Source organism: Homo sapiens, chromosome 2, assembly GCF_000001405.40.
Source record: "Homo sapiens chromosome 2, GRCh38.p14 Primary Assembly".
Lineage (NCBI taxonomy): Eukaryota > Metazoa > Chordata > Mammalia > Primates > Hominidae > Homo > Homo sapiens.
In genome coordinates, this window is record NC_000002.12 from 91869260 (window position 1) to 91893214 (window position 23955).

General features: G+C 36.9%; 2 pseudogenes; one reads left to right on the forward strand and one right to left on the reverse strand.

The window, feature by feature from the left end:
* PABPC1P6 (poly(A) binding protein cytoplasmic 1 pseudogene 6) lies at positions 9436 to 11144 on the forward strand (annotated as a pseudogene).
* The window catches only part of SLC9B1P2 (solute carrier family 9 member B1 pseudogene 2), a 48809-nt pseudogene continuing 38500 nt past the window's right edge, over positions 13647 to 23955 (reverse strand).

The following is a 23955-nucleotide window of genomic DNA, read 5'->3' on the forward strand; positions in this document are numbered from 1 at the left end:
TGACACATTTGCTGAGTGACACAGAAGGCTTCCACCTTTGACAAAAGCTTAGGGCAGAAAAGGCCTCTGCAGCAGGTCCAGGATCCAGGGCAAGCAGCCCTAGTGTTTGAGCCATAAAATCTAGTAGGCTCTATGGTATTAGAAGTATATGCAGTTGGAAAAAGCACCATGTAGAGTTTATAGCAAACCCTAATAGACGATTCATACATAGTCTTGTGGGGTTCACTAGCATGGTCATGCTATCTGCAAGTAATTGTATATTGTATAAATATATAGCATAATTGTGTACTTTAATAGCTCCTAGCATGCTACTGCACCTAGGTAGAGACGGACTATCTGACAACAAATATTAAGTGACCATGTGGCTAAAAGTTCCCACCGTGAGTTTGGTTTTGTTAGATCTACCAGATCATAAGGACAGGCTGGCCCAGCAACAAATCATAATAAAATAGAAGTACCACATTGAATTAGTCCATTTTCACATTGCTATAAAGAACTACCCAAGACTGGGTGATTAATAAACAAAAGAGGTTTATTGACTCACAATTCCGTATGGCTGGAGAGGTCTCAGGAAACTTACACTTATGACTAAAGGCAAAGGTGAAGCAGGCACCTTCTTCACAAGGCAGCAAGAGAGACAGAAAGCAAGGGGGGATGTGCCAAACACTTTTAAACCATCTGCTCTCATGAGAACTCACTCAATATCATGAGAACAGCATGAGGGAAACTGCCCCCATGATCCAGTCACTTCCCACCCAGTCCCTCTCTCTACATGTGGGGATTATAATTTGAGATGAGATTTTGTGGGGACACAGAGCCAAACCATATCACATCAAGGATTGGGCATGAGAAAGACTAGAGGACACAAGTAAGCAGTATGATCAGGTGATCCAGGTCCCCACATTATCCAAATTGTGACACTAGATTCTCTCCCTCAGCTGGCAACTCTGCCTATGTGGGAGTTCCAATATTGCTAAAGGAGGAAAAAAGCTAAGCTTGTTCATTGGAAGATCAACTCAGGATGCAGATGTAAGTAAAATATGATAGCAGCCTACTTCAGCTATGGAAAGATAGCAGTAGATTAAATCCTCCCAAGGACGGTTCAACATATATTGAATCAATAAATGTGATATACACATTAACAGAATGAAGGACAAAAACTATATGAATATCTCCATGGATGCAGAGAAAGCATTTGGCAAAATTCAACATCTTTCTGTAATAAAAACTTTCAACAAATTAGGTATCAATGTCCACATAACACAATAAAGGCACATATGATAGGCCCACAGCTAACATCATACTCAATGGTAAAAAGTTGAAAGCTTTTTCTCTAAGATCAGAAACAAGATGGATGCCCATTTTCACCACTTCTATTCAAGTTCTAGCAATTAGTCAAGAAGAAGAAATAAAGGCATTAAAGTCAGAAAGGAAGAAGTGAAATTGTCTCTGCAGACAACATGATCTTAAATGTAGAAAACCCTAAAGAGTCCACCAAAAAAAACCGTTGGAACTAGAAAATTAATTCAGTAAAGTTGCAGGATGCAAAATCAACATAAAAAAACGAGTAGCATCTGTATACACTAACAATGAACTATCTGAAAAAGAAATCAAGAAAACAATTTCATTTATAATGGCTACACAAATACTTAGGAATTAATTTAACCAAGGAGGTGAAAGACCTGTACACTGAAAACTATAAAACATTGGTGAAAGAAATTGAAGAAGACACAAATAAATGGAAATATATCCCATCTTCATGGATTAGAAGAATTCATACTGTTAAAATGTTCTTAGTACCCAAAGTGATCTACAGATTCAATGTAATCTCTATCAAAATTCCAATGATATTTTTTATGTAAACAGAAAAAAGTCCCCAAATTCATGTGAAACCACAAAAAACTCCAAATAGCAAATTGTGAGCAAAAAGAACAAAGTAGGAGGCATCACATTATCCAGTTTCAAACTATACTATGATGCTATAGTAATCAAAAATATAACATGATACTGGCATACAAACAGACTGGTAGACCAATGGAATAGAATACATCCACGTTTATGGTCAATTGATTTTCAGTAAATATGCCAAGAATACACAATGGGGAAAGGATAATCTTTTCCATAAATGGTGTTGGGAGAACTCCACATGCAGAGAAATGAAATTAGACCCTTATCTCACACCATATACAAAAAAATAACACAAATGGACTAAAGACTTAAATATAAAACCTGAAACCATAAAACTACTAGAAGAAAACATACAGGAAAAGTTCCATGAGACTGGTCTGGGCAATGATTTTCTGGATATGACCCCCAAAGCACAGGCAACAAAAGCAAAAATAGACAAACAGGATTATATCAAACTAAAAAGCTGTGCAAGCAAAGGGAGCAATCAATAGAGTAAAGAGATAGCCTACAAAAAGGGAGAAAATATTTGCAAACCATACATCTGATAAAGGATTAATATCCAGAATATATAAAGTATTCATACAACTCAATAGCATGAAAACATATAACCTGATTAATGAAAGGGAGGCAAAGTACCTGAATAAACATTTTTCCAAAGAAGACATACAAATGACCAACAGGAATATAAAAAAATAACCAACATCACCAGTCATCAGGGAAACCCAAATCCAAACCACAATGAGACATCCCTTTTAGAATGGCTACTATGAAAAAGACAAAAGATAACGTGTTGGCGAGGATGTGGAGAAAAGGGAGCCTTTGTATACTGTTGGCAGGAATGTAAATTAGTACAGCCATTATGAAAAATAATATAGAGGTTTCTCAGAAAGTTAAAAATAAAACTACCATATGATGCAGCAATCCTAATACTATTTATACCCAAAGAAAATGATTCAATATGTCAAAGAAAAATCTGTACCTCATGTTCATTGCAACATTATTCACAATAGACAAGATATGAAATCAACCTAAGTATCCTTTAACAGATGAACGATTAAAGAAAATGTGGTGTATATATACCTAATGAAATATTGTTCAGCCTTAAAGAAGGAAATCCTGTCCTTTGTAATAACATGGATGAAACTGGAGGACATTATATTAAGTGAAATAAGCCAGGCACAGAGAGATAAATGCCATGTAACCTCACTTATATGTGGAATCTAAAAAAGTCAAACACATAGAAGCAGAAAATAGAATAATGGTTATTAGGGGTGGGGGGAGGAGGGTAGAACTGGGGAGATGTTTGTCAAAGGATACAAAAATTAAGATAAGCAGGAAGAACAAGTTCAAGAGACCTATTGTACAACATGGTGACTACAGTTAATAACAATGTATTGCATACTTGAAAATTGCTAGGACAGTAGATTTTAAGTGTTCTCATCACAAAAGAAATGATAAGTATGTGAGGTAACACATGTATTAATTAGCTTGAGTTAGCCATTTCACAATGTATCCATATTTCAAAACATCAGGTTGTACACTACAAATATATACAATTTTTGTTTGTATATTTAAAAATTTTTAATATTTAAAAATTCAACTCAAAAATAAATTCTTGGCCAGGCACAGTGGCTCACACCTGTAATCTCAGCACTTTGGGAGGCCAAGGCGGTGGATCATGAGGTCAGGAGATCGAGACCATTCTGGCTAACATGGTGAAACCCCATCTCTACTAAAAAAATACAAAAAAAATTAGCCGGGTGTGGTGGTGGGCTCCTGTAGTCCCAGCTACTCGGGAGGCTGAGCCAGGAGAATGGCATGAACCCAGGAGGTAGAGCTTATAGTGAGCCGAGATCACGCCACTGTACTCCAGCCTGGTGACAGAGCAAGACTCTGTCTCAAAAAATAAAAAAATTTAAAAAAAATTTCAGTTGGCAGAACTTTGCACTATGCACCTTGTCATTCACTTTGCATGAAAAGAGAAGAGACTCAAAGTAAGTATGTACTGACACATGGTCAAATGGCTTGGCTACAGGTCAGGGGGATGGAAGGAGAAAATTTGGAAGACTGGAGAAAAAGACATCTGAGAAAAGGGCATATGGGTGGACTTATGGGGATGTACAAAAAGTATGAAGATCTTTGTTTCACATGTTAACACCTACAAGAGGTATCTATCAACAACCAAAGAGAAAAGCGACTCAGCCAGATGATGTTAGCCAACCTCTTCCATTGGCCAGCTCAGTACTGGCACAATTGGTGAATAAATATAGTGACAAGGATGGAGGCTATGCAGAGGCCCAAACAGCAGAAGTCTCCACTGACTAAGTCTTATCTAGCTACTGCTGCTTCTGAATGTCAAAGTTGTCATCAAGACAGAGTAACACTGAGGCCTCAAGATAGCATCATCCCTCAAGGACACCAAGTAGTCACCTGGTGGCAAGCTGAATGCACTGGATGCTTTCCATCACAGGAAGGGTAATGATTCATCTTGGCTGGAACTGATACTTATTCTGAGTACGGATTTATCTTTCCTACTTACATGGCCTCAACCAGCACCACTATCCAAGTGTTGACAGAATGTTTAATCCTCCAATATGGAATCCTACACATCCTTGCATTGTACTTTATAGCACTGTATAAAGGGAATGTACTTTGTAGCACTGTAGTTGCAGTGGTGGACACATGAAAATGCAATTCAGTGATCCTATTACAAATCATGAAATCACAACAACTAGAAGCTGTCAAACTGACGGAGTGATGGAACAGCCTCCAGTAGCCCTTTGAAGCTGCAGGGATGGGATACAAGCATATATCCTAGATCAGTAACCATTATATGGTCCCTTGTCGCTAATAGAAAGAGGATCATGGATTGAAGAAAGAGTAGCACTATTTACCATCACCCCCAGGGATTCACTTGGGAAATTTCTGCTTCTTATCTCTGCAATTCAATGCTGTTACACAACGGAAGTAGCCAGGAATGTGTTTGGCAGCCAAGGGATGTTTAAGTAGTCCCTTACTAAATTTTGATTGCTCAATTTAAAAGGACAAGTCTAGTAGCCATGGCTACTACACCCCCCTCTCCTATCACCAGGTAAGTGACCTAGACCAGTGGAGGTGCTAGCTGAGGGTAAGAATGTAAACCTGATAGTACCTGTATAGCAGGAAAGGCAGATGATCAATTTAGGGTGAAAGACCAGTTGAAGAGCCAAGGAGCTATTGTTCCCTCCATGAATGTTACTTTCACGTTTCCCCAGCAAAAGAAACCAACCAAAATCCTGGAGGAGCTATTCCTAGATGGAGAGAAGTTATATGAAGTCATGGATCCAAATGACATGAGGGATGGACAGAGTAGTGTCTTCTGTGCTGTGTAGTCCAGGCCTCCCTGCAGAATGGAGACCCTCATTCCCCAGCTTCCTTAGAGTGCTGTCTGTTGAGGGCACATGACTAAGTTCATGCCCTAGGAATTGCCCTCAGGCCAAAAGGAACTGTGTAGTAGAAGTCACATCCTTGGGGCAAGAACTTAATTTGAATTCATATTTATTGTTGTCAACAGAATTTTAAGTACTGTATGGTATGTACATGAAAGGAAAAGAACATTTGAAATGAGCTAATGTAGAGCGGATCTATTGGGGAACTATTGGTGAATAATGATGATGTGGTCAGTGAGGGTCACTGAAGTTCACAGGGTTATTTGAACAGAAAACAACTGGGAGAGGTGGATTTGACACTCAGATTGGGGGACTGAACAAATAATAAGGTATCTGGGCTTCAGTTTTCTCATCTGGAACATGAGGGACTAAATGACTGCCAAGTATCTTCCAGCTTCTATATTCTGTAATGCTTAAGTAGTCTGCAGAATATTAAAATGAACAGCACTGGGAGATAGCCCATGGGCTTGAAAAGTGAGGAAAAACAGGAACTGCCAGGGAGAGTTTGTTAAAACCTTAAAAACCTGTGCATGGCTGTTTATAACAGTTGTATTCATAACTGCCAAAACTTGGAAGCAACCAAGATATCCTTCAGTAGGTTAATGGCTATGCAAACTGTAGTACATCCAGACAAGAGAATATTATACAGCACTAAAAAGATATCAGATATTAAGCTAAGACATGGAGAAGACTTAAATGTATATTGCTAAGTAAAAGAAGCCAGCATGAGAAGGCTATATATTGTATGGTTCTAAGTGTATGACAATCTGGAAAAGGCAATACTATAATGTAGAAACATCAGTGGTTTTCAGCAATTTGAGGAAAGTAAGAGAGGGATACATAGGTGGAACACAGAAGATTTTTATGCTGATGAAACTATTCTGTATGATACTGGTGGATATCTGTCATTATACAGTTGTAAAAATTCACAGAACTTTACAACACAAAGAGTGAACGCTAATGTAAACTATGGGCTTCAGTTATAGTAATGTATCAATATGTATCAATTGTAACCAATATACCATATTAATACATGGTGTTAATAATAGGGGAAATTGTGTACAGAGGTAGGGATTGGGTGGAGAGTGGGATAGGAAGGTAGTGTTACATGGGAACTCTGTGTACGTTCTGCTCATTGGTTTCTGTAAACCTAAAATTGCTCTAAAAAACAAAGTCTACTAATTTTGAGAAATTTGATGAAGAATGAATATTCATGTAGTACCAAGGTATAACCTCAGAGATCACTGGCTAATTACAGAGGAAAATATACCATTATGATACAGATATCTGGCAATCATTACCTTAATTTAGGAATGAAAATTAGCATCACTGGCAGTGGGACAACCAGACATAAACTTCGTAATGTGCCGCTATTGGAAGTATACGACATCAACTTTGAATGATTCTGGCCAAAAAAGTTTAACCTGAATGTAACCAAGTCTTTAAATTTAACTTCAAATTTCAGAAAATAGAAGGGATAGACAAACAAACTAAATGAAACCATGAACAGTCCCACAAATCCAGAATGTGAGATATTCTACGTGACAACTAGCATGGTTCCTTTAAAATGTCAATACCGGCTGGGCACGGTGGCTCGCACCTGTAATCCCAGCATTTTGGGAGGCTGAGGAGGGTGGATCATGAGGTCAGGAAATCGAGACCATCCTGGCTAACATGGTGAAACCCTGTCTCTAGTAAAAATACAAAAAATTATCCGGCCGTGGTGGCAGGCGCCTGTAATCCCAGCTACTCAGGAGGGTGAGTCAAGAGTATCTCTTGAACCCAGGAGGCAGAGGTTGCAGTGAGCCAAGATCACGCCACTGCACTCCAGCCCGGTGACAAAGCAAGACTCCGTCTCAACAAAAAAAAAAAAAAAAAAAAAAAAAGAGTCTATGCCATTTAGCAAGGGATTAAGTATGGAGAAATGTACTGGATTACAAAATAAGAGACAAAAACAAAATGTAGTGTCCAGTTCTCGATTGGATCCTGGCTTTTAAAAATTGCTATAATTGAGAAACAATTAAGAAAATGTGAATCATAGGGTGTAATTATGCAAACCTAGATGGTATATATATGTATATTTTTGAGACAGAGTCTTACTGTGTCACCCAGGCTGGAGTGCTGGTGCGATCTCAGCTCACTGAAACCTCAGCCTCCCAGGTTCAAGCAATTCTCGTGCCTCGGCCTCCTGAGTAGCTGGGATTACAGGCACCTGCCACTGCACCAGGCTAGTTATATTTTCAGTAGAGACGGGGTTTCACCATGTTGGCCAGGCTGGTCTCAAACTCCTGACCTCAGATGATCTGCCCACCTTGGCCTCCCAAAGCGCTGGGATTACAGGCATGAACCACTACATCCGGCCCTATATATTTTCACTTATTTATTTTTTATAAGGAAAATCAAATGTTCCAGCACCACTACTGAGCATCAGTCATTTCCTCTACTTGAGCTGCAATGCCAATATCAAGGGCCATATACTGCTTATCAGGTTTCTATATATGTTCCAGTTTAATCTTATGAGACCACCACAGTTTAGATGGTCGACTAGTTGACTGAAATGTGTTAAATGGGGCATGACTGCTTATATTTGAAAATATTTGGGAGTTGAATAATTGTAAGGAATTACTGATAACTTGGTGTGAAAGGATAAGGGAATTGTGGTTATGCAAGAAAATGGCTTTAGTTTTTGAATATGCAGGCTTAAGTATACAGAGGCAAATTAGCATGATGCCTATAATTTACTTTTAATTCAAATTGAAAAATTACATAAAGAAAACTTGAAAAAATATTAACAATTAATTGGATTTAGGTGGTGGTTATGTGGGTGCCCATTTTTTCTACCTTTCTGTAGGCTCCAATGTTTCATAATTAAAAGGGAAAAAACGGGGCCACAAGAAAAGGTACAATTAAACATTAATGGGTCCCTTCTCCCAAGTGGTTAGTGCTGAGAGTGTGGAGTATGTTCTCCAGGATCAGCACATATTTATTATCTTGAAAAATCCATTCCCCCGAAAAAAATCCCATGAAAAAAACTTAAAAAAAAAAAAAGGTTTCTGTTTTAACACCCGTCACCCCTGCAAAACACTTTACAAAAAAATCCTTGTCTTCACTGCCAGAGATATTTTCCTTTTCTTCTTGTATAAGATTACCCGGTGAGGCAGCCGAGAGCGACCCACCCGCCCCCTCGCAGCTCCGAAAAAGCTTCAAGAAGGAACAGGATCCCGAGGCCTGGACGCTGGACCCTACACGCCACCCTCGTCCCAGCCCGCTGCGGGCCGCAGTTCTTCGGATTCCAGGTGATTTTATCTCTCTGCGCTGGCCAAGGCTTCCTCCCCAGCCCTTACTCTCCTTTCACAGAAAGGTCGCAGCCTGTGGCCCTACCGGCAGACAGGTGCAGAGGTGAGCCCAGCGTCCCAGCCATCCCCTGTCCTCGCACCGCACGTGACCAGGCCTGCTGGCCGGTCCTCTCTATCCCGGGCTACAGGAACCAGATCACCGGCGCTCCTTGGGAAACGCAGGATGTGGAATGTGCATAAGACCCCATGAATTTTGATGTTATAGAAGACTAGCCAATACACACTAAGTGGTCTCGGTGTGATCCATCACTCCGCAAAAATGGAGTGGGCAACATGTTCATAAAAAAATTGGACAAATCTATTGATTATAAAGCATTGCATGATACATCTGCTTTTGGTAACATCTTTTTGTTCCAGAAAAAAACAGGTTTTGTCATACCACCAGGAAAAGGCACGCAAACACTTGAAGGGTGAGGGGGAACGGAGTTTATTGGGTGGAAAGGAAAAAGGAAAAATAACTCTCAGCAAAGAGAGAAAAAGTCCTGCTAGCGGGTTTCCCACCTCATAAATTAAATCCTAGGTCACTACATGGGAACAGGCCAGACTCCTCTCCACTGCACACTGCACAAACTTCCCGCAGCTCCACCCCGTAATCCCAGTGCGCAGGTGGGCATTATTCAGAATCAGTGAGGAAAGGGCGGCTTCAACCAGGACCTGCAGTCCAGTTTATCAGCCTTCAGGCTGTTTTAGTCTTGAAGGTGGGGTTTTACCAGGGGACCCTTGGCTGCCTCCTGTCTCTATCACTTTCACATTAGGTGCTTTGTGGTGAAAACGGTTTCAAGGGTGATGACATTGTACATTTTGACACACAGAAGCAGCTGAAAGATCTATTCAAAAATGAAATGGGTGCTTCTAAATGATAGCAAAGTCTTTGTTGGATTAAGTCTTGTAAACAATGAGAGGCAGAACTCAGAGTTAAAAAGTTCACCAATGTTTACAGGAAGATTTTTGGAGAAGACATGGATGGTAGGTGTCTTAAAGATCTCTTTGGCAAGTTGGGATGTGTCTTAAGTGTGATAGTAGTGGTTAATGAAAGTGGAAAACCCAAAGGTTTTGGATTTGTCAGCTTTGAAAGGCATAAAGATGCACAGATGAGATGAACAGAAAGAAGCTCAATGGAAAACAAATTGATGTTGGTCAAGCTCAGAAAGAAGTAGAATGGCAGATGGAACTTGTGTGCAAATTTGAAAAGATCAAGCAGTATAGGATCACCAGATAACAAAGTGTTAACATTTATGCAAAAAATCTTGATGGTATTGATGAATGTCTCTGGAAAGAACTTTCTCCACTTGGTACAATCACCAATGCAAAGGTTATGAAGGATGGTTGTCACAACAAAGGGTTTGATTTGTGTATGTTTCTCCTCTCCAGGGGAAACAACTAAAGCACTTTCAGAAATGAATGGTAGAATTGTGGGCACTGAGCCATTGTATATAGTGTTAACTCCATGGGAAGAAAAGCAATGAAGAGCACCAGGCTCAGCTCATTAACCAGTACAGTATGTGCAAAGAATGGCAAGTGTAAAAACTATGCTCAACCTGGGAATCAGTCCCTATCAGCCAGCACCTTCTTCAATTGACTTCATGGCAGTTATCCCACAGACTGAGAGCCATGCTGCAAAGTATTCTCCTAGCCAAACTGCTCAACTAAGATCAAATCCTCCCTAAATTGCTCAGGGTGCCAGACCTCATCCATTGAAAAATATGCCCAAGCCACTCCTAGCTCACTACATTTAGTAGTAAGAGACCAGCTTCTTCACAGCTTCCACGAGTCATGTCAACACAGCTGTTGTAACACATCGACAGAGACAATAGGAGCACATTCTGCAGTTGCCGCTACTGCTACTACAGATACTCCTGCTGTTTGTACCATTTCACAGTATAAATATGCTATGGAAGTTCACAATCCTCAATGGCATTTTCATGCACAGCCCCAGGTTACCATGCAGCAGCCTGCTGTTCATGTAGAAGGTCAAGAACCTTTGACTTCCATGATGGCATCTGCTCTTCCTCAAAAGCAAAAGGAAACGAGTGAATGGCTGTTTCCTCTTCTTGAAGCCATGCCCTAGTCGTGCTGCTAAAATCATTGGCATGTTGTTGGAGATTGGTAATTTAGAACTCCTTCATATGCTTGAATCTCCAGAGCCTCTCTATACTAAGGTTGACAAAGGTATAGCTGTACTACGAGACCACCAAGCTAAAGAGGCTGCCCAGAAAGCAGTTAATGGTGCCACTGGTGTTCCAATTGTTTAAAACTGATCAGGGACCACAGAAAGAAACTTGAGCATCACTGAAGAAAAATATCTCAATATCGAAAACCTTAAATACTATGGAAAAAATTTGTAAAGTATAAAATAAATTTAAAAAGGAAACTTTGAACTTTACATACCAAGCAAATGTCAGATCTAACAAATGCAATGATAGTCCTAGATTACTTATTGATTTGAAAAGAAAAAATCCTCCCAAAATAATAAAATATAAAAACACTGTAATGCTTTTCAGACTCTGTGATAAATAATTTTCAGCAAAGTATAAAAATTTAAAGCTTTCCTTTAATTTTGTAATTCATTAGTGTGGAATAGCTAAGAATGTCACTTCTGTTTTAAGTAACAGAATTGATAACTGAGCAAGGAAAGGTAATTTGGATTATAAAATTTTGCTTTAATAAAAATTCCTTAAACAGTGAAAAAAGTAGGCAAAGATACAAAAAAAGTTTATAAGAAACAACAATCTTGTATTTATTTGTTATTTTATTTTATTTTATTTTATTATTTTATTTTATTTTTTTTGAGATGGAGTCTCGCTCTGTCACCCAGGCTGGAGTACAGTGGCATGATCTTGGCTCACTGCAACCTCTGCCTCCCAGGTTCAAGTGATTCTCCTGCCTCAGCCTCCTGAGTAGCCGGGACTACAGGCACCTGCCACCATGCCTGGCTAGTTTTTTGTATTTTTAGTACAGACAGGGTTTCACCATGTTAGCCAGGACGGTCTCCTTCTCCTGACCTCCTGATACACCCACCTTGGCCTCCCAAAGTGATGGGATGGTGTGAGCCACTGTGCCCAGCCTTATTTGTTTAAATACTGTAAACACTAATATCATACACATGGTTAACTGGTTGTAATTTTTAAATTATATTAATAAATTTTTATAAAAACTTTTTATAAATAAAAAACTTAAAATTTCAAATAAATAACAACATCTGCCACACTACCTTAAAACGGCGACTATTTCAGTATAATAATTATATATCACAGACACTTAGAGAAAGTTCAATAAATAAAGAATAAAAAGAATAGGTACAACAATTTTCCTCCTAATCAAAAACACAATTCCTCATTTTGAAAATTATTTCTTATCTCTCTTTTATTAAAATAAACTTTCTACTTTGAAATCTAATTCTCTTGTGAATGTAAAATACTATCTTGTAAATATATATATATACATATATTTTATTATTATTTTTTTTTGAGACAGAGTCTTGCTGTCTCCCAGGCTGGAGTGTAGTGGTGCGATCTCAGCTCACTGCAACCTCTGCCTCCTGGGTTCAAGCGATTCTCCTGCCTCAGCCTTCTGAGTAGCTGGGATTACAGGTGCATGCCACCACACCTGACAAATTTTTGTATTTTTAGTAGAGACGGGGTTTCACTATGTTGGTCAGGTTGGTCTCGAACTCCTGACTTTGTGATCTGCCCACATTGGCCTCCCAAAGTGCTGGGATTACAGGCATGAGCCACAACACCCTGCCTATATTTTTATTTTTTTATAAGTGACAATGAGATGTCCTCATGATTTAAATAGTAGTCAAAACACTGGCACAGTTTAAATTTTTAGAATTTGAGTACTAGAATTACAATATTTGAAAATGGAGTCTGTACTTTGTTGTAAAACTATAAAGAGAAAATGTCACTAAAACAGTACTATTTTATCTTTTCCCAGAGTTATTCTCCCAGAGTGTATTTTCTAAGTTATTTCCCAGACAGTTTTAGAACTTATGGCAGTTTCAGTGATATATTCTGTAAAAGCCCTTAGTCTTAATAGGAATAACACATAGTTTTGATTGCCTTAAATTTTAATTGCTTCACTTGGCAAATTTATGTGTAAATTTCATATTCTGTGGTATTTTAATACCTTGCTTGTGGATAAGAGGAAAAAGAGGAATGAAAGTAATATTCAGTCCTTGCATTGAGCTTTTGCCAAAGAAGTCTAAACAATTTCTAAAATGCCATTCAATAAGGCCATTTTAGAAGTGTTTATATGACTCTTATAACTTTAAAATAAAGAGTCTTGAAGTTAATTAAAACTCACTTTGCTTGTGATGGGTTCTACATTAACATGGCAGATTTAATCAGCCAGAATTAAAAGGTAATTCTATATTACTAAGGAGAAGAAACTGCCACATGACAGTAGTCTCCAAATCTTTCATTTTTGGAGGCTGCCTTTTATGCCTAGATTTAAAAATACTAATTGAAAAAAATATAGTTTACTTCCATTTGTGATTTAATTTTATTTCTATAAATAAAAATATAGATAGTGTTTCATCTAAAAACTGCTAAACCAGACTTTCATTTTAAGGGCATGGCAGAAATAAGGAAAGACTAACTTGGTTCTATTACTTAACATATTATTTATTCAGGTAGTCACCAAAACCAGAATTTAAAATCTATTCAGTTAACCCATTTAAAGTTGATGTGTTTTACTCCTTTTTTTTTTGTAGTGATCGTTTTAACTGAATTACTGGACATCATGGGGAGTTCTACTCCTCCTATTTGGAAACTTAGGCTATCTTACCAAGTTCAATATTCAAAGTTTTTCTTTCTGCCATTAAATTTGTTTAATTTTATATTAAGCTCAGTTTGTATTATGATATCAAATTCAGCCTGAGGGATTATTTTAAACTTTCCTAGGGATTTACAGATTTAATTTGTTCTTACAGTATGTAAATACCAAGAGAGCATTCCATTTAATTATTATTTTTATTAAATTAACTTTGGAGTAAAATGTCCAAGAAAAGCCCTGTACTGAAATCACATGTTTACTAAATCCTGGATTTTCTGTACAGTCCCTACATATTTCTACTTTAAAATTCTTCTGTCATGTGAAATAATTCATTAAAAGAAGCAGGCAGATGATGACAGGTAAACTTTTTAATGATGTTCTAATGTTGACAATTGCAGTTTTATTTTACTTGGATCATAATGGTGTGTAAGCATTTTAGGCCCCAGAATGCCCATAAGTAGAGCTCCATTTGGAGCTGCGATCGAGATGGCTAAAAATGCTACTGTCATCTCATCCTTCGCATATGGTTCCAAGTGGGGTGTGGAGACTCTTGCTGTTTCTAGAGCCAGAGGACCTAACACAGTCTACAATTAGGGGTAAAAATGGGGCATAAAGAAAAATATTAAACTGAGTTAATATATAATGTAAATGGCTCTGTTAAAATAAACAAAATCTAGTACTAGACTATTAGAAAAAAAGTACTCAGTAATTTTCATAAGTTACTCATCAGTTCCATGTTCTTCCTAGAAAATATATGTGGAGGAAGAGTACAATAGTGACAAATCAGCATGCAAACATTTTTGGGCTGATTTTGCACTCTTGTCCTCTCAGTGTTCCTCTATTCAAATATCTCTTTTGAGTGTTGCCCTCATAACACCAGGAGTTCTAAGGAAACCGGTTTTGCTTAGTTGCCTTTATCGTGTACCAGTGGTTTTTGACTACAAGAAGACATAATAAAATATTAAGTTTTCTTATGGTTCTCTAGGATTTGTTGCCCTTCTTCTCATTGTTCTCCTTATTCAGGGGGCACTGGGTTATAGCAGAACTGACAGCAGGCTTGGAATCTAGCAAACTGGGTTTGAATTCTATTTTTGCTGCAACCAGGCTAGTGACCTTGTACAAATGACTCACACTCTCTAACCTTCTACTTACTTACGTGTAAAATGAAGAACAAAATACTTCTCTTACTGGACGGTTGTGAAAATTAAATATGAGAATGTGAAGAATACCTGGCACAGAGTAGGTATTCAGATAGTAGTAAGTTTCTTTCTCCTTCACTCCTCATCCCCTGCCAGGTCAGAGAATGAGTTCCTTTGAAGTTTTTGTTTTAGAATGACTCTACTGGGTCACAAGTTTTTTTCCCTAGTTACCTTCTACCACATTATTTTTAATAACATAAAGCAAATTTCTTGCTAACTCTCTTTCCTTGTGTTTAATAACTAGGCATGAAATTGCCTTAAAATTTGGGGGAATTAAATACCAATATATAACATATTTTCTATGGAGTTGCAAAGTAACAACATTAAACATTACCTTTGATATGGAACATTATGGCAAAAGAACCCCTCAATTTAAGATCAATTTCTATATCCTAAATCAATAATTTAAAATGGTATTATTTTTATATCATAACTTTTAATGTACTGAACATGATCCAGTGTGCTGGAGGATGCTAGGGAGAAAAAAATAATCATGCAGAAAACCACCTTGAAAGAATCTTACAGTTTAGAAGAGGATTTGAACATAAAAGAACTGCCAACAGAAAAAAAAAAAAACAAAAACCAAACCCATTGACTTTTAGGAGATGATGACGATAATGGTGAAACTAGAAATAATATTTTTATAGTTATATGGCATTCATCATATGTCAGGTATCATTCTTAAAGCTTTCCATTTATCAATTCATTTAATTTTTATGACAACCTTATTATGTGAGGACTTTTATTAGATGATAAATGATTTCCTCCTAGTGACTGAGATTTAATATTATTTCTTTAAAAAAATCCAATTGCCAAGCTGATCTTACATTTGTAAACTAAATTATTTATTTACTCTCCTAATAGCTTCTATTTTTCCAGTCTAATTTTTATCAGTAACTCAAAACTAAGGAATAAGAGAAAGCTGAACCTTAGCCAATTTTATTTTAGCAGCAGAGAACGGCAGAAGAGGATAAAGGTGAAAATAATTTAAAATTGAAATTTAAATATTTGTTGATCGTATTTACTTGTGACATTATTGTTATCTATTATTGCTGTTGTGACTCTACTTGTATAACTAATTAATTTTTTATGTCTTGCCAGTTCCTGGAACCAGCTTGATATTCTTTGTGTAGAAGCTAGCCTGGAGCCAGCAGACAGGAATAGGCAGAAGCAGAATAATACTGCAGGACTCGAGTGAGTGGTCTCTTTCCTCCTACCTGCTTTTCTTTTTTCCCTGCTTTATGAAAATTATGAAATAATGAAACAAAATTGCAAGAGTATTGTTGGAAGGAGAGAGAACAGTTACTCCTTTTGTAGATTTATTATTCCCTACAGTAGACATTAAAAATAAAAAGTTATTATTTATATTACTTGAAGGTAAGATAAAATAACAACATTGTTTGTTAACTGAGCACCACCATATGCCAGAGAGAGTGTTAAGCACTTTACGTGGATTATCTCATTGAATCCTGACAACACTGCTAAGAAACAGATACAGTCATAGACTTCATTGTAAGATGAGAACACTGAAGGACTGAGAGACTAGAAAATAATTTTCCTGAGGTTATAGGCAAGTAACATGGTATTCAAAACAGGTAGTCTGGCCCTCTGAGCCTGCTTTTCTAACATAATAGAGGTTTTTTTGCATGAAAATTTAGGAGCTTCTGTTTTGGAATAACAACTAAGAAAAGAGCCACAGGAAATTAAGCTATATTATGCTGCCAAGTTAAACAGTCTGACAAGAAGTAGCAATATATTTTAGTAGGAGGAGAATCTCCTTGAATAACAGGGCAAAATTACAAGGTTTCCCTTTCCGTTCATTCATCCTTGCAGGCATGCAATACGTATTTGCCTCCTGCATGTCAGGCACTGTGTTAAGTGCCAGGGAGAAATAATGAAAAACAACTGCAACAACCAGACACTGTCCCTGTCCTTACATAGTCTATCAAAGGGGCGGGGGCAGGGATTTAGCCATTAACCAAATAGTATACAAATAAATGTGTAATTAAAAAAATATATGTGCATTTGTGTGATGGAGTGAGTGGAAAGGTAGGAAAAGTATTTTTTAAAAAATCAATGTTTCTCTATTTTACTTTACTTTTTTTTGTGACAGGGTCTCACTTTGTCACCCAAGCTGGAGTGATGTGGCGTGACCTCAGCTCACTGCAGCCTCAACCTCCCAAGTTCAAGCAATCCTCCTCCCTCAGCCCCCCAGTAGATGTGACTACAGATGCGTGTCACCACATCTGACTAATTTTTTTGTATTTTTTGTAGAGACGGGGGTATTACCATGTTGCCCAGGCTGGTCTTGAACTCCTGAGCTCAAGTGATCTGCCTGCCTCAGCCTCCTGAAGTGCTAGGATTACAGGCATGAGCCACAATGCCTGGCCTGTGTCTCTACTTTTTAAAATTGTAACATTTAGCTTTGTTATATTCAGCAAAATATAAAAACTCCAATTTTCAGATATATTCTTATTATATATTTTAGGAAAATAAAAAACATATTTTCATAAACTTAGGAAGTACTTATTGAAAGAATACTTTTTGATTTCAAAATAATTGCTTTTAAAACTGAGATTTCAAAAGGTTACGTTGGCTGGGCCCAGTGGGTTATGCCTGTAATCTCAGAACTTTAGGAGGCTGAGACAGGAAGGTCACTTGAACCTAGGAGTTCAAGATCAGCCCGGGCAACATAGCAAGACCTCCTCTTTACAAAAAAATCATAAAGAAAAGACCAGGCACTGTGGCTCATGCCTGTAATCCCAGCACTTTGGGAGGCTGAGGCAGGCGGATCACTTGAGGTCAGGAGTTTGAGACTAGCCTGGCCAACATGGTGAGACCCCATATCCACAAAAAATAAAAAAATTAGCTGGGTATGGTGGTGTGCACCTGTAATCCCAGCTACTGAGGAGGCCGAGGCAGGAGAATCGCTTGAACCTGGGAGGTGGAGGTTGCATTGACCTGAGATCATGCCACTGCACTCCAGCCTGGGCAACAGAGTAAGACTGTCTCAAAAAAAAAAAAAAATCTGAAAAAAAAGCAGTTGGGTGTGGTGGCAGGTGACTGTGATCCTAGCTACTCAGGAGGCTGATGTGAGAGGATTGTTTGAGCCCAGGTGGTTGAGGCTGCAGTGAGCCATGATCATGCCACTGCACTCCAGTTTGGGTGACAGAGTGAGACCTGGTCCCAAAATGAAAATAAAAATAGAAAAAGGTTACATTGAGTTTCTTTGTTTGTTTTTGTTTACTTATTTATTTTTTTGAGATTGAGTCTTGCTCTGTCTCCCAGACTGGAGTACAGTGGTGCCATCTCAGCTTATTGTGACCTCCGCCTCCTGGGTTCAAGCAATTCTCCCGTCTCAGCCTCCTGAGTAGCTGGGACTGGTTACGTTAATTTTAATGAATAGTTATGATCAATCAAACATTTAAAAAGTAAGGATAATAGCTCATATTTTGTGATTGGAGTAACATTTTTCATTTTAAATTTTAAAAGCATCAAAACGAAAGCATTAAGCAATAGGCTTAATATGTTCTTACCTGTACATATTTGGGCATCCATGCTAAAGCAATAAATATTTTCTCCTTAAAACTAAAACCAGCAAAGCACATCAATAGATATGTGGTTAAAATTCGAACACATAATGCCAAACTCAGAGTGGCAACAGATATGCCTACAACAGATGAAAACAAACATAAATAACAAAATATTTGTGAAGAAGTGTTCTTTATGCCCAGGAATATGATTTCTAAAACTTTTAAAAGCATTTTAAGGCTATTGTCTCTTCATGTGTTTAATTTTTACATAAAACAATGATAATAAAAATGAATATGATGGAGGATTCTCTGTAAAATGCAAGACAGTATCTGACGGTGGAGGTACCATGAAAAATAAGACAGATGACATTTATACAATTCTGAACTAATAGACTTTTTTTGAATACTTTTATTATTATTAATAATAATTTACTTTTTGAGAAGGATTCTTGCTCTGTCACCCAGGCTGGAGTGCAGTGGTACAATCTCAGCTCACTGCAACTTCCAACTCCCGGGTTCACGTGATTCTCCTGCCTCAGCCTCCTGAGTAGCTGGGATTACAGGTGCGCACTACCACACCTGGCTAATTTTTGTATTTCTAGGAGAGATGGGGTTCCCCATGTTAGCTAGGCAGGTCTTGAACTCCTAACTTTAAGAAATCCGCCCGCTTCGGCCTCCCAGAGTGCTAAGATTACAGGCATGAGCCACCACACCCAGCCAATAGTTTTAAATGAAAGTACTCAAAAAGTGCTGATCATATCAAATATGTTCCCTCAGGAAAGAAATCTTATATTTATTTCCTTAGAAAACTCAGGGAAGATATTCAGGGCTGTCCTTGGTTTAAAAAAAAAGAGCACACAGTGTAAAGGAAGAGCAATAGGAAAATATGACAGTGTATCAACATGTGTTTCTGAAGAAGGTCCTTGTAGCCATTCAAAGATATATTGTAAATAAAAATAAATGTATTTATAATTTTCTTAAATATTTTTGAATTTCATATTTTTTGTGCTCTAATTATTCTTACCAACAATATTTGATTCAAGCAGTGAAACAGATACTTCTGCTCCAACTAAACCAAAAAGAAGTGGTTGAAAAATATCCCATACATTTGTAATAATCTTTCGGACTTTCATCTATAGAAAAGAGAAATACATTTATAATTATTTTGGCACATAAATAAATTTCAGAAAGTTAAAGTCTCCCTCACCTTTTTTTTTTCACTTTTTAAGTATTTTAGAGATGCGGTCTTGCTCTGTTGCCCAGGCTGGAGTGTAGTGGCATAATCTTAGCTCACTGTAGCCTTGAACTCCTGGGCTCAAGTAATCCTCTCGCAGTCTCCCAAGTAGAACTACAGGTGTGTACCACCATGCTGGGCTAATTTTTAAATTGTTTATAGAGATGGGGTCTCGCTATATTGCCCAGGATGGTCTAGAACTCCTGTCTTCAAGTGGTCTCTGGCTGTGGCCTCTCAAAGCACTGGCATTATAGAAAGAGCCACCATGCCTGACCTAAAGTCACTTAACAGTTAATAAATTTAAGATACTTTATTTTAATAAAAATGTTAAACTTAATTAATAAAAACTGAACACTTCAATAGTTTTACTCAAACACTTAGGTAGAATTTGATTAAAAGAAACTCACAAAGCAATAAAATAATACTATTTGGCCATTTTGTCACAGAATAAGTGATGTCCTTAGGGTTCTAGCCATGTTTCATATGAGTTCCAGATTTTGTCTCTAAGTTAACTGAACAGAGATAGAACTACATCATGCCTGATGAGAACATACCCAGTTCATGCAAACATTTGGGTTCTCAGAAGGGGGTTGGGAAGCCTTCCACTAACAACCATCCTGGAACTCAATCCCATTAAAGTGAATCCTGATATATATAGTGTATACTACTAGGAAAAACAATTTGGAAGTCTGCTAGGCCTGCTTCCAAAAAACCCATGTTGAATACTTTAAAGTTACTTTTTCCTTAAAACAAAACCAAAACATATATTAGATTCTCATTTAGCTGCCTACCCAGCTTCCCTTTCTGGAAATGAATGCCTCCCAGTGCTACTTCCCCAATTAAAAGATTACAGGAAAGTCCCCTATTGGCCTACATTACTCTGGCTCTTCTCCAGGAATTTGGATGAAGAGATTTCAGTCTCAGTCTGGGTTTAATTTTTTTTTTTAAACAGAAGATACATAAGAACTTTGATGTCTCTTCCTTGAGGCATAAACTATCTTCATAACTATTTCCCTTATGACTGTGTTTTCTGATCCCCACTTATTATAGTTTAAAAAAAGAAAAACAAAGAAAAACGATGTTACTACTCTTTACAGTATAATTATCCTATTTGTTACTTTTAATCTTTAAAACTTGTTTTAGTTCTGTTTCTTTTACCATTTAAAAAAATTCTAGCAGTTTTAATTTTATTTATTGATTTGCATTTCATTCATTTCATTTCTTTTATAATTATGATTATATAAGAATACTAAGCAAAATGCCACTATGATTTTTGATTAGGGAACTTCTCAAGCTGATTCTAAAATTTATCTAAGAAAGAATATGTGTAGGAACAGCCAAAAATACTTTAAAAAGAAGTATAATCTATATTAGATTTTGACACATAAAACTGCAGTGATTTAAAACAGTAGTGTTGGCATAGAAATAGAGAAGTAGGATTAAATAGACTTCAGAATTAATATATATGGGAGAATTTAGTTCATGTTAAAAAACTGAATTATTAATGAATTGGTCAATAAATAAACAATTTGGCAAAAAATGACTGTCTAGTTTATGTGCATATATCTGTATGTACATATTCATCACATGCAAGTATATATGTGTGTCTGAATATGCATTTATATTTATGTGTGTATATATATATATATATACACACACACACATCAGGCATGATGTAGTTCTATCTCTGTTCAGTTAACTTACAAACTGTATGTGTGTGTGTACATATATATATATAGTTTGTAAGATACACATATGTATATATTATTACCTTACCTCACAGCATTCACAAAGATAAATTCCAGATAGATTAAAAGACTAAATAAAAAAACAAATTAAACAAACAAAAACTACCAAAATATTAAATGATAATACACAAAATAGTATATCTTTGTAATGTTTATACGTTATAATCTTCAGTGAGAAAGTCCTTCTTAAATGAGATGCAGAATCCAAAACCAAAACAGGAAAACCCAATAGGTTTGGTCATAGGAAATTTTACTTTCCTACACCAGAAACCATAAACAAAGTTGAAGATAAGCAAAAATTATATGCAATATATACATAACAAAGGATCAGTAGCCCTAACACTAAGAGAAACTATAAATTAGAAACAAAAAAATAAATAACCCAATAAAAATGGTCAAAGAAGATCATAGGTATTTTAAAAAGAATATATGAAGAGAAGCTTACTATACTACTAATCAGAGAAATGTAAATAAAGAATAACAACATCACATAATTGTAAGAAACTATAAGAATTGGATGGTGAGGTCATTTAATAGTAAAAAGAATAGAACTAGTGATAATATCAAGTGCTGTTGATGAGTTAAAGTATTAGATATTTTTGTGCACTGTTGGCAGAGTGTAAATAACCAAAATTTTTGAAGGGATAATTTAGCAGTGTCCATCAAAATAAAACACAGATCATTTCCAGCCAGGTGTGGTAGCTCATGCTTGTAATCCTAGCACTTTGCAATGTCAAGATGGGAGGATCCCTTGAGCTCAGGATTTTGAGACCAGCCTGGGCAACATAGACAGAGACTCTGTCTCAAAAAAAAAAAAAAAATCATTTCTAGGACTCTATTCCTACAGATGAACCTGTAATCCCAACACTTTGGGAGGCCGAGGCAAGAGTATCACCTGAGGTCAGGAGTTCAAGACCTGCCTGGCCAACATGGTGAAACCCCGTCTCTACTAAAAATACAAAAATTTGCTGGGCGTGGTGGTGCGCGCCTGTATTCCCAGCTACTAGGGAGGCTGAAATAGAAGAATCACTTGAATCCAGGAGGTGGAGGTTGCAGTGAGCCAAGATTATGCTACCGCACTCCAGCCTGGGTGACAAGAGTGAAACTGTGTCTCAAAAAAAAAAAAAAAAGACATGAACAACACTGTTTATGACAGCACTGTTTGTAAATAACTAAAAGTGGAAACGATCTTAATGTCTATAAATAGAATACTGGTTACTTAAAAAAATGTAAGGGGGTTAGATATTTGACAGTGGTGGGGAATAAAGAAATCTTTCTTTTACAAGCATTTCTATTTTTATTATTTATTTGTTTATTATTATTTTTTTTGTGTGTGATGGAGTTTTGCACTTGTTGCCCAGCCTGGAGTGCAATGGCATGATCTCGGCTCACTGCAGCCTCCACCTCCTGGGTTCAAGCAATGCTCCTGCCTCAGCCTCCTGAGTGGCTGGAATTACAGGTGCCCACCACCACGCCACCATGCCCAGCTAATTTTTGTATTTTTAGTAGAGATGGGGTTTCACCATGTTGGCCACGCTGGTCTCAAACTCCTGACCCCAGGTGATCTGTCCACCTCGACCTCCCAAAGTTCTGGGATTACAGGCATGAGCCACTGTGCCTGGCCTTTTACAAACATTCTTCATGGATTAATTGTATAATTAAAATTTCAATGAATACAATAATTAGATTGATATAAGTAATATAATAATATTATATAAAACTTGGGAAAAAGAGAAGCCTGATGTGATTAACTCAACTTCTGATTCCATATTAGTATATTTCCAGCTGCTTTTCCTAAATATTTTATTTCCTCGATTGATTCATACACTTTCTTGAGGATAGCAAACCTTTTGGAATATTTTCCAACCAGAATGAGGGGATTTCCTAAATATATGTAAAAAATTCAGTTGTCTTAGCTTTTAAAATATAGCATATTAAAAATATTCACCTTTTCTTGGGACCATTTTGTCCCTGCAATGAAACTCAACACTAGTGTGCATAATCCTCCAGATCCATGTAAACCAATATGTTGGCTGCCTAAGACAGCAGAAACACACGTAGTCAAAACAAGGAATCCTCTCTTCAATGTAAGTTTTTTCTAGAATTAGATAGATATTTAGAAATTAGTTTATATTAAATATATAATACAAGATTTGACATTATCTATTATATATGTTTGACCCTTTGATATTATGTCTTTAAATGTTATATTAAATGTCTAAAATTTTGATTTTCTTTCTCACCATACATTTTAGCAGACTTACTACCAAGTAACAAAATTTCCAATTAGTAACGTTTCATCTTCTGCCACATCTCTGATACTAGTATCAGTAAAATGGTTAAAGTGTTACTTTAAGTGAAGAAGAAAAGAGACCCATAAAATCTCCAATTTCATATAACATATCCAGTGAATTCTTAAAAAATATTTGAATATCTCTTTGGTCAATATGTTACAGCTAAATTTGGATGGAAATTACAGAAATACAAAAGTAATGGCATGTTTTCCTTTAAGGCAGGAAATGGCTAAGTTTGAGTGTTGCCTTTGTCAAAGGATAGCAGGAGTGAATTTCAGTCAGAAAATATGCAGAAATAAATGGGAACCTATCTCCCCCTAAAATGTTTAAGGGAAAATTTGGGGGAAATTATCAAACATCAATAGACAATTTAGTAGAGAAAGGGAAAGTATAATTCAGAGGGATACTCTGCATTAAGTATATTTTTTGACATTCCTTATTTGCCAAATCAGGAAGCAGAGACTTTAATCAAAGCCATT